The 13,183-nt window shown below is 35.7% G+C and overlaps 1 protein-coding gene across 5 annotated transcripts in view; it reads left to right on the top strand.

The window, feature by feature from the left end:
- The window catches only part of CDH10 (cadherin 10), a 157,879-nt gene that overhangs the window by 20,273 nt on the left and 124,423 nt on the right, over positions 1-13,183 (top strand). The window lies entirely within an intron of this gene.

Genomic DNA, 13,183 nt, shown 5'->3' with positions numbered 1-13,183 from the left:
CTCTTGATTTTAGTTTGCTTTCATCAAACATTGGCACTTAGAAGAATTGGTTCTAAATTCCATTCTGAACCTGGAATCTCAGAAATGAAACTACAAAATTACTTTAAGAAATACTTTAGGGGTGGTTAATGAGACAAGAAACAAAATGAAGTCATTTAGACTTTAGCCATGCAATTTCATATTCTGACACGGAAACTTTCTAGGACCTAGAGATCACCATACCCAGTGTGTCACCTCATCATTAGTCTCTTTACATGTCTCAGAGGGAATTAAATTTTCCTATCTCTTAGTACATGTTGTTTACCCATAATTTGTAGAATTAACAGGAATATTTGATAATTATTATCTGATTTATTTAAATATTGTTTGAGGCAGTGAGGAAAAATCCATATATAAAATAGATGAAAATCTATGACCTCATAGAGTTTACTTTCAAGGGTGGCATCAGACAATACAATGTGAATAACAAAAACATTTCATATGGCTTATTTGTAATAAGTGCTATGGAGGAAACAGTGCAGAGAAGAGGAGTGTTATTGGTTTATAAGTTGTTTCTTCTCACCACAGGACACCGCTCCTTGATGACAGAGTCTTTTTCTCTACTAGACCTCAGAGTACGTACTGAGCTCTCAAAAAACAAAACAAGCAAAAAACAGTTGCTGTGTGGGTATCTGGCTATGTCCTGTGTTTCCTTCAACCTGCTGTTATGCTTTGATAGTATAGAAATGTTACAGGAATGTATTTCTTAGGGAAAAAAGAGAGAGAGAACTTTCATTTCTCACTAGATAAGGTACAGTTCAGAAAACAAAAAAAAGTTTTGAGTGATACATTTTTCATTTTCATCACTGGTATAGTTGACAGTTATGTGAAAAAAAGAGACACATGCTGCGAGGCAAATCCCTAAAAACACATATGCTGTTATTTAAAAACAGCTCACCCTGCAATTGCATTTGGAATTCAGCACTGCCTTCTACTTGCTTTGTTTCTGATAGCATTCCTTTTCTGCAAGGTAAGAGATATTCAGACCTCTGTGTTGCTTCAATTCATAAATATTTTTGTTCACATGATGCTTAAATGCCATTTGAAAAACTCCTGCTGGACCTGAAAATATCTCTTTTGGGGATGTTCTTATTTCTCTATTGCTAATATTGCATCATTTTCCAATTACATATGTTTGAGGTGATTGAAAAGAGAGAATTTCTCTGATTGTTTAAATTATTTCTGATTTGAAAGAAATAGTCCACTTTAAGAATGCACATTACAATGACAGTTCTCTTTTAAAATTTGTTATGCGGTTTACACATTTTGGCCTGGCGCTGTACATTTGTTCAGTGATATATTGTTATTACCCTTTTTCCTCATTGCATGTCATATTTTATATGCAATCATCAGACACTTTCCTGCTCAAGTGGTCGTTAGCATTGTGCTCTCCAGCTGTTCAAGACTGTTACATAAAACTAGTACCCCCACCAGGAGCGTGCCTGACTAGCTTCCCTGCATCTGCAGGACTGCTGGCTTGGAACTGGCTGCAGAATGAGTGCTGTGAGGCTGCTCTGATCCAGTAGCTCTAGTTCCCAGTCATATCTTCTTCCTGCATGACACAAAGGAAATGTGAAATAATTCTCATTTCTGGCGGAGGCATAGCATTTTCTCCCTTTTCCCTACAATTGGCATTATAAGAACAACACTTTTTGAAGCTGTCTCACAGTTTTATGTGCCCTAGAAAGTGCTACCACTGAGGTCAAATATGCGAGTCACATCACGTTATGTGGTCTCAGAATCCTCTTGAAAATAAAAGGATTAAATTAAATAATTTCTAACTTTTTAAAAATTTACAAAACGGAATGATACTAAGTGAAGATTTTATTTTTAAAAATATGAGAGTAAAATATAAACCTGACATTAGAGGGTTGTTTCCCCTAACTACCTATACTTTTATTTCTTTGTGATTAAAATACATGAAGTAATGCCTGCTGTCTCTTGAATATTGAGAGCCTCCCTGCTACCACCACCAATAAATACCGCATCTGTCCTAGGATTTTGTTAAGTCCTGGGGACCTGAAGAGGAGTTAGAGTCTGTATTCAAAAGTTTATATTAGCAGATTTTAACTGCCTCATGATTATCACTGTCAAAACTGGCTGGGCTTTAGAATGGTAATCCATTCTCTAATCAGAACACTAGAGTGATCTGAATAAGGTAATCTGATCTACAAATTTTCATCCATGCTAATGCATTCCAAATTCTGCAGCCTGCTAAAACTGATCCTTCAATATCAACAGAGCTAATGAATTTGCTGTGGCTAGCCAGGAAAATGTCCCTTCTTCCCTCAGGCCCTTTCTTCTCCCTCCTTGCCAATTCTCACAGCCAAATTGCGATCAGATATATTCTTGATTTATCATGCATACTCTTTCCCATAACATTTAGAAGCTGAAAAATTTTGTCAACATTCGCACATCAAATTAATATGTTTTGTCAAAGGTCAGCTGTGACTTGTGAGTTTGAGTTTGTGCTGACATTTTCTGAAGTCTTCGTTCTAACTGAATTGAGTAGCCTTCAAGCAGGTCTGCTTGTTTCTGTGCTTGCTGCACCTCAATCTCTCTCAACCCAAGTAAATGAGATCGTGTTAGTCTTCTGTGCAAATGTCTCTCTTGGTGTAAAAGCCAAAGACGTTGCAAGAGCTGGCAAGAAGCCAATGCACTTGGATCTGCATTTCCTCTCTAACCTCATCTTCTTTCGTTCTCTCAGGACTCACAGCACTCCAGTCATACTAGTTTTAGGCTGGTCATATAACATTCCGTCATGTCTCTACCTTGGGTGGGGCCTTTATTTGTTGCTGTCCCTTATGCATGAAAGATGTTTATATCTGTGTGTGTGTGTATACACACGTATATCATGTATATAATGCATATAAATGAATTATATGTGTGCATATAAATGGATTATATATGTGTGCATGCACACACACATAAATATGTCCATCTATCTATATAGATGAGAAAGAGAGAGAGAGATCAACTAGGCTTTCTCTTTTTTCCTTCAGTTCTTTAGTCAAAATGACTCTTTCAGGAAGGCTTCCCCAGACTTTCCAATTTAAAATAGAAATCTCTCCACATTGCCTATGCCATTTTCCTGTTTTGGTGTTTTCTGAACATTTATTACATGCAATATACTCTGTATTTTACTTTTTCCATGTGGTTATTGTTGATATCCTCTCAGTGAAATCAAGCTTCTTGCTGACAGTGAGTTTGCTGGTTTTGTTTCTGCTGTGTTACTTATTTATTGTACTTGTCTGAATCTTTCCACTAAAATGGAAGCGAGCTTTTTATGGCTGAGAAGGTTGTTTGATTTGTTTAGCTCTGTGTCCTCTTAGTAGATATGCCTTGGTCAAATGCATGAATAAATAAATGGATATGGGGATTCTGTGGGGTTTCTAGATGGCAGCCAGTCCCAGAGATCTCAGGGAGACTCAGTTTCTTCTTTGGGACTCCTTGTGCACACTGCTTCTCTGACACTCATTGGCACTGTAGGTGAGAGGCAGAGTGAGCGCTCTTAGAGGCACACTAAGGGCTCTCATGACCTGGCAGTTCTGATGTCCTTGAGGAGACAGCCGATGGAGGCTCCCTCCTGAATTAAACTGCATCAGGCCTACCAATATTTGCTGCATGCTGGCAGATATATCCCAGTTTCAATCTCAAAATATTAAGTCAAATGCTGATAGGTCCAAGTGTCTTGTATATTATGCTGGCAGTTAGACCTTGACGATAAGATGGAACTAAAAAGAGTTTTCCATAAACCTTCAAAAGTTGAAACAAGCTGTCCAGAGCTAGTCAGTCAGCTAAATTGATTGCTGCTTTATGGGATTTGTTTATTTTGTTTGTGCCTCTTCTGTCAACATTCTTTATGTCTAATATGAATACAGACTGGTATGGGCACCGCTTAACAAAACAGGGGCAATGAGAAGAGGATGAAAAAAAAACCTGTTCTGCCCTATAAGTGTGGTAGTATACAACTGGCATATTCAAAGTTGATTTCCCAAAGCAATTCTAAACAATATATAAAGGCCAGAAAAGTACAACTTTAACAAGTATATGTACTGTCCTTAGTATATATATGGAAAAATAGTTTAACTTGTATGATTTTAAATCAGACACAGAGCTTAGGTCTGTTTTCACTTTCAGAGATCTCTCTTTATTCAATAACCAGATTTTGAAGAGAAAAAGGATGCAATCACATTTTATATATATTATTCAAGGTCTTATCTTAATTTACTAATCATTAAGGCTGATTCATTTTAGACAAAAATGAATAACTGCTTTTTAATAATTTTTTTTCTCAACCAATTTGGAGATGTAATTATTGAGGGAGCTTATGTACATCTTAGAAAGATGTGCAATCTTCTTTTAATGTATATTGTTTTGTCAAACTATAATAGATGTAAATAATGACTGCATTTTGAGCTCACAAAAGGACGTCAGAAAACAAGTTGTTGACTTTAGAAAAACTATTGATGTGTTTAATAAAAAATATTATGCCTATTAACGTGTGAGGAGATAAGAGCTTTATGAGCTGAAGTTAGTAAGGTAGAACTAAAAAAGAGATAATTTAAGGTAGATTTTTGCAGAAGTATTTATTCTGATGTGTGTAAATATATATCATTTATTTTACTGCTACAAGGTATTTCTTTTTGTGAACAAACCTCAATGGTGACTTTCTTAGTCCCTTCTGGTTACAGTGACAACCTACCATAAAGTGGGTAGCTTTTAAACATTAGAAATGTATTTCTCACGGTTCTGAAGGCTGGAAACTCCAAGATGAAGGAGAGCAGAGTCAGTATACGGCGAGGCCCTCTTTCTGGTACAGAGACAGCTCCTCCTCCTTGTGACCACACGTAGTAGTGGGAGTTAGCTAGTGGTCTGGGGTCCCTTTTATGAGTACTAATCCCAATCATGACCCAATCATCTCCTAGACTCTTCCTTGTAATATCATTATCTTGGGGGTTAGGATTCCAACATATGAATGTTTTAGGAACATAAATATTCAGACAATTAATATTTATAAATATTCAGCATTTTGCATCTGGCCCTCCAAAATTCATGTCCTTCGTGCAGGCAAAATACATTTGTTTTACCACATAGCCTTGAAAATCTTAACTCGTTCCAGCATCAACTTTAAAATCTAAGTCCAATGTCTAATCTAAATATCATCTAAATCAGGCCGGGCACGGTGGCTCACGCCTGTAATCCCAGCACTTTGTGAGGCCGAGGCGGGCAGATCACGAGGTCAGGAGATTGAGACCATCCTGGCTAACACGGTGAAACCTCGTCTCTACTAAAAATACAAAAAATTAGCTGGGCGTGGTGGTGGGTGCCTGTAGTCCCAGCTACTTGGGAGGCTGAGGCAGGAGAATGGCGTGAACCCGGGAGGCGGAACTTGCAGTGAGCCGAGATTGCGCCACTGCACTCCAGCCTGGGTGGCAGAGTGAGACTACGTCTCAAAAGAAAAAAAAAAATCATCTAAATCAGATATAGATGAGACTAGAGGTACCATTCATCTTGAAGGAGATTGCTCTGCAATTATGCATCTGTGGAATCAAACATGTTATGTACTTCCAACGTGCAGTGGTGGGACAGGCACAGGGTAGACATTACCATTTCAAAAGTAGAGAAATAGGAGAGAAGAAAGGAGTGTCATGGCTGTTTTATGATTGACTACTTTAGTATATGACTCAATGATACTATAGAACACATTAAAACAATTAAAATAATTATTAAAATCAGATGTTTGACATAGATGCCTTTGCAGTTTGTAAAAAATTCAAAATTAAATAATATACAATGCCTCTAGGTGCTTCTTAATATGTCATTTAATACCAGTATAAAATAAGCTCTACAAAGACCAGGAAGTCAAATTAAACAAAGACCAGGAAGTCAAATTAAACAAAGGAGTTTCATGATTATGTATAAACATTTGATTACACTGTTGTGGAGAGTTTAAGCATTATTTAGATAATTACACAATATAACTTTTTCCTCTTTATGATTCTTTAAAGTGACCAGCGCCAGTTACTGGACTATTCGCTTAATCAGTTGGCTAGAACCAGTACTTGTTTGAAATCTCTATGTCAGATAAAATTAAGGAGCCAGCGTTTAAAAGGAATAGCTGATACACATGTAGAACTTTAACAAAAATAGAAAGTACAGAAAAGAAAAAGGCTTCATGCTTATCCACTTAATATTTGTGCAAGGCTGTAGAATAATCACATGAGTTTTAAGAGTAATATTTAAATTATTAAGTAAACATCTTGTTAATTGAAAGGATTTAAAAAACAAATGGCAATGAAACACTCAGCAATCACCTTTACATGATTTACTCTGCAACAGCGTTGTCTCTTCAAATGATTTCAACTTTTGCTTCGTAACAAGTTATCCTTCAGTCATATTCATGAGAGTGCAGTTTCCAGAGACTCAGAAATTTTGCAATCAAATCCATGTTAAATGATTTTACATCAGTTTTATCCATAATTATGCTAATAATAATGGTCCATTCTTTGAGTGGATTTCTGAACAGATGATGAACTACCTCATATTTCACATTTAACAGTGAAAAAATTCTGAAAACCAAAAAATGAACCCCTAACCAAACACACATTGAAATTGGACACTCTTGAATTGAGGAGTGTTAACTACCCTTTTAGCCATTGCACATGATACAGATAAAATCACATAACATTTTTGACACTGATATGTAAAATAGAGGGTGGGGAACAGACTGATTGCTAAGATTCCTTACAATTCTAAAACCGTATGGCTTTGTAAACAACCCCTTCACAAGATGACCAATTGGGTTTACGGTTATATTGATAATGACAAAGTGATCCAAGTGCATCAGGCGGGGAGGTGGGTATCATCTCTTCTGCAGGGAGGCCTCTGGGAGGCACATAGCAAAGGAGCATGGATATGTAATCCTAAAGAGGAACAAATGAAGAGTTAGAAGCAGCTGTTTGATTATTCCTTTGTTACATCTTCCATTAATTTGTGGTCAGATATTTCTTTATTCTTTTGTTCTGTTTTTATCCTAAGATCTAATAAATATTAAATGGTATTTTCTTAGAGCTTTTTAAAAAATAGTATTACTTTTACATTTGCTCTTAAAGTCATTTAGAATTTATATTGGCATGCATAGGCTATGAGGAGCCAATTCTTTTTCAAATAGTCAACTAATTTTATCAGCAAATTTTACTAATGATCAGTATGCTTAATGCCTACTCCAGACTTCAGCCAGGTCCTACTTCTACATTTTGTTTAAAGTTTGCTTTTGGTTCTTATCTTATTGATCTCAATACAAATATTCTAGGTAATATTACAATTTCGTGGTTCTCCATTTGGGGTAATTTTTCTCCCTTCCCTCCAGATAGTATTTGGCAGTATCTGGAGACATTTTTTTGTCTGCCGTGATCGGGGCAAAAGCAGGAGGGGTGCATTGCTACTGGCATGGTGTAGGTAGAGGCTGGGGATGCTGCTAACCATCCTACAATGCACAAGATTCACCTCCCTAACAAAGAATTGTCTAGTCCAAAGTCTCAAGAGTGCCACTCTTGATAAACTCTGATATATACTCATTTTGAATACAGCTTGATGCACCTGCAAGGGGCTGGATTGACCATTCCCTTTCGTAATAACTGATGCAAAGATTTTTGACTGAAGGAATATGTGTTTTCAAAAGATGAGGTGTTAAATTCAATGGAATTATAACAATGAGAGATTTGTGCTTTTCTAAAATTACTTCTCGCTTAAATGTCCTTGAATTTTTTTAAAAAAGATATATTGATAAGATAACTGCTAGAGGAAAAATAGTATATGCACTCTGAGGACCAGTATAATTTATGGTCATGCCACAGAGTGAACTTAGCTGACATACAAATTGATAAACACAAGACTTTGGCCTTAGTCCAGTGGTCTAATAGAAATATGAATTTGATACTCCTACTTATCTGGAATCAATGAAAGCATCTGAGTGCCTGAGAATGTTTATTCTGGAGAATAAGTTTTATTTTGCCTCATGTCCAAGTACTCACAGAACAAGAACAATTGATTGTAGAATTCTTTTTTTAAATATAGAAAGTATGAGGTATGTGCAGATTTTGAAAAAAAAAATTGCAATCTACTAATAGCCTTTTCTTTGTATGAGCTTTATTCACATTTATCAATGCTGCCATTTATTTCTACCATTCATTTTTCTATATATTTTATGCCTTCATTCCTTTTTTTACCTTTTAACCTAAATCCGACCCCCAAGTGTAGAATCTATATTCAGTGTTCTTTCCTACAATGTAAAAATTCTTTAAAAATTACAGTGTTAACCATAATCCAAATTCGTTGCGGAAAAAACAAATTTCTGGTTCTTGTGAGCCTTGGGAAATGCAGAAGTTATTCACTTAGTTCCTTAATTAATGAACATTTAAATATTACTTTGTCTTTGCAACAGAAAAATGAGAAAATGGAAGTTTACTTTGTTTGCCAAGGCTAGATACCTCTTCCTAAAAATTATTTTGCATACACCTTCCTCTTTCTTTTTTTTTTTAACTTTCTGAAAGAACTAAATTTATGTAATGCAATGAAATATATACTTTTTTTAAAGAACATAAACAAAATAATTACAGTCAACATTCCATAAAAAGAATATGGCTATAATTTATATGATTTGGGGTAATTAAAACACAAGACATGCTAACACCTTGGCAATGAGAAGGGATAAATGAAAAACACTAAAACACTATGGTCAGGCTCACAACTTCTAATTGCCAAGGGATCTGGGAAATGAACACCTACTAAGGTTGATCACAGTAAGGACCTCCTCATGCCTCAAGGCAGAATTTCCAAAATATATGCTGTGCTCAGCTTTGGTCACTTTGTTGAATTGCATATATGATTTAATTTCTATGAAGAGGGCCAGTCTAATAAGTAGGCATGGCAGTAAGAATCCTATGGTACCTGGAAATTAAGTGAAGGTTAGAGAGCTCTGTTGGTATTATTTGGGAATTATATTCACCAACACTTCAGGCTTCAGAGAGCAAAAACCATCCATGAAAGATGTAGGAGTTTATAGGGAAGCTCCATAGTCTTAGAAAGAATTGAAGTCATTCACATATTATCTGTTTTGTTCCGTTTTTTCCATACCTACAATATACTAAGCACTGTTCTGTGCAGTGTGGCTCCCAAGGGAACAATCAAAACTAGTTTCCTGTACTCATGTAGAATGTATTTCAGTGACAGATGATTAACAGTTAAATACTATAAAAATCACATTGTGATAACGTGAATAAAATAAACAAGATAAACTGATCAAGAATGTCTTTGAAGGTCAGTTTTTAGTGTCAACGAGGTGATATTTGAGAACTGAAAAATGCGAACAGAAATATAAAATATTTGAAATATGTGAAAAGTGAGCAGAAGAGATTTCCATGCAAAAGGAACAGCAAGTGCAAAAATTCTGATGCAGAAATGAGCTTGGTGTTTTGGTAAAAATGAATGGAGGCTATTGTGCCAGATGATACTTGATCAAGAGAAATCAGTGAGAAAGGAGTTTGGAGAAACAGGCGAGAACAGTATTATCATGGATTGTGGGTAATGTGGGCAAGTTGAGAAGAAAGCATAGTTGAGAGTGGATGTCTACTTGTTGGGGAGGTGGCCACACTCACCAGAGACAACAGAATATGTAGATGCTCCTGGTGCTTGACTCCTGCAGCTGAAGATGGCACAATGGGTAAAACCAGAGCCTGTACATCGTCATCTGCTACTGCTCTGACCAATAGGAGTACAGGAGAGAACCACACAAAAAATAAGTCCTGCCGCCTTGGATTTTCACAGAATAATTAGATGGCAAAATGAAGAAGCAAATGCGACATAAACATGAGTCTTGTACTATGCCCCAGTTTACATGGGTACATATAAAATACTCCCAAATATCAAATTTTAATCTAGTTGGCAAAGATAATTATTGCAGTCATGAGGACGCTAATAATTGTCACTGGTTCTGTTTACTCGGTCTGGAAACCAAAACTAAATTCTGTCTTCATCTGATGGTGGCCCCAACAATGAGAATTTGTAAAAGGCAGTGACAGAGAAAAAAATGGAGACGTTCATCCCTGACCCATTTTATTGGCTTCTGCAATGTCATGCTAGTCATTTCCTCAAATACTTAATTTATCAGCCTGCTATTATTTAATATGCACATCATCAATTACAGTGAAATCTGCACCCAATTAGTGTTTTCCAAATTCTGTAACATTGGATCAGGAGGGAGCATGGATAACACTGAAAGGGTGCAAGCTCTGGAGATATGTTTCTATTTATGTATGGTTTTAGAAGGAATTAAGGAATATATTGTGTGCTGTGTAATGCCAGATTCCATTATTCAAGCATAACATTATCCATACTTGTTTGCATTTTTCTACTTCATAAATGTTCATTGCAAGGATATAGCCTATCCGTAGAACTTACAGAGTTTTTCCTATCAATAGAGAGTAATTATTGTTTTAACATTTTTGGATCCATCATGATTGCATTATAGATATGTAATGACACTGACCATAAAATAGAACCAGGAAGCACCTTTATCAACATTATTATCAGACTATGTTCTTTATCTGTCTGCTTTGACTTAGTTATACTGTTCCGGAATGCACATTTTTAACTCACAAAATGAACTCTTGGTTTTGATGTTTGGGTATCTCTCTGAATAGGTAATTCTTCAGATGCAAAGTCGAATTTGTCCTTGTCCCATTCTTAAATGAATGCTTCATTCAACATTTATTTATTGAATAAATACATAGAACATAGAATATTGAATAAATAAATAGAAATATAGAAGGTGTTTTTAGTGGGGTAAGGGAGCAATAAATACCCAGTTCGAAAAAGCCCTTTCTATACAAAAACTAGGGAAAATATTTTATCCGTACCACAGAATATATGTTCATGAGAAACTCATTCTTCAGTGACCATTAATTCATGTGCCTCGAAGTTTATTTAAAGCTTGAGGCAATTGCCACAGTGTCCTAGGTAGCAACATTGTCCCCATTTGTACTTCTGAGACTCTTCTCCAGCTGCCCCAAATACTTCCAAGGACATTCTTTCACTTTTACGGTAAATAAAAGCTGTCATTTCCTTTTTTTTTTTTTTTTTTTCCCAGCAAAGAGGATGCTTGCAAGCCAAACAATAGCAGAAAAATACAGTGAAAACAATGAAGGAAAATGTGAAAACTATTACACAGGAAAGAAAGAGAACACATAGAAAATAAAGACGACGTAGTCTTCCTCTTTTTCTAGGAAGGCTGTAAAAGCATGAAAATGAGTCTTATGTAACCACGTGTTATTTATTCTTGCTCATAGATATATTAACAGCAGAGAATACGTATGCATTGTTTTTCCTGAGTTTTTAAAAGGTACTTTTACTCACCACAACTATATTTGAACAAAACATTAAATAGCTACAGGCAGTGCTGATACTCTCCACATATTCCCTATGGCTGATTTGCACTTCAGTTATCCATTTTTTTTTTCTCTTAAGAAAGAGGTACCTTCAGTAGGAATGGAATGAAAATCACTATATTGCATTATTTAACATTTTTTTCTATATGGAAGTACTCTAGAATTATCCTAGATAATGACAATGACACTCAAATCAGTTACTAGTATGTTTCTGAAGCAGTCGGTTTGGATTACATCTCTCAGAGGGCTGTGTCCTCAATGTGTTGCAAATAGCATACTGCACAATCTTGAGAAGAAGTCTAGTCATCTTTTAAAAAATTGAAAATACAATAGTAATATTCCATCAGGGGCTCTGATTACCACAAATATTTTATGATAGATTGAAAAACTGCCTTACATTTCAAAAGTTCCATTTATGTCTATTAATCAATCTTACTGTATTGATTAAATAGGAGCACACCAGTAAATGTGAACAAATGAAACAAATAACTCCTCCAAAAGTTATTTTTGCCATAAGAATTATGTATATAAACCTGAGAGCTTTTCTCAGTTGACTTCTGACTTTCTAATGGCAAGTGTGTTTCTGTAGTTTTACCCCCAATAATAAAGAAATACAAAAAGCATTAATGTGTACCATTAACGCATTGATCAATTATTGAGGTTTCTCAATTGGATAACCTCCATTATTTTGTGACACTGAGTAAACTATTTTTAATTCAACCGTACTGTCAGTTGAAATACATTTTCTATATTCACAGTCGTAAATATGCAGAAAAGAAGTATATCTGTGAGATAAGGTGATAAGCAATAAATTTTTCACCAAAACAAAATTGTAAAACTTTATGAAATGTCCTTTTTGGAATATCATATTGCAATTGAAACCACACTGATTATGGCATTTATTGTAGTTCAGGGAACTATTCTTACTTCCAGTGGGCCACTAAGACACTTTGTCCCTTCACACACATATGATCATAAGCAACTGATACCTTTTGCTAAAATGTAGAATATCTAATTCTTATTAAAAGAAAAAGATATCTATGATATTGAATTCTTATTAATTTGTTTGATTGTTATTGTGTTAGGTTCCTATTAATGTGTAACGTACTATCACAAAATTTAGCTCTTTAAAACAACCTACATCCATTATCTCACAAGTTCTGTAGGTCAGGAATGCAGGCAGGCTTTGCTTGGATCCACTGCTTTAAGATTTCTTGCCGGTTGCAATTAAGGTTTCATCTGAGGTGTTGCTCAATGGGTGGTTGTTGGCAGGTTCCTGTTTCTATGGGTCGTTGGACTGAGGTCCTCAGTTTCTTGATGGCTATTGGCCTTCAGCCACAGTCAGTTCTTGACTCCATGATCCTCTTCAACATGGTGGCTTGTGCATCAAAGCATGCAAGCTGAGAAGGCAATAGAGAGTCTCCTAGCAAGATGTAAGTTGCCATCTTTTGTAACTGAATCATGGGAATGTATCTCTTCACCTTTGCTGAATTATGTCGGTTAGCAGCAAGTTACTAGATCGGTGCGCATGCAAGAAGATGGGATCACATAGGGTTTGCATACCAGGAGGAAGGGACCATTGGTGGGGGACCCTCTTAAAAGTTCATTGTTAACAAAAATCTACTCTGAAAATAGGAGACAAAACTTGTTTAACAATTTTTCTAATAATCCTATTTTATTCTCTCACTATAACTATA

Source organism: Homo sapiens, chromosome 5, assembly GCF_000001405.40.
Source record: "Homo sapiens chromosome 5, GRCh38.p14 Primary Assembly".
In the NCBI taxonomy this organism is placed as follows: Eukaryota; Metazoa; Chordata; class Mammalia; order Primates; family Hominidae; genus Homo; species Homo sapiens.
This window is presented reverse-complemented; position numbering and strand designations above follow the sequence as displayed.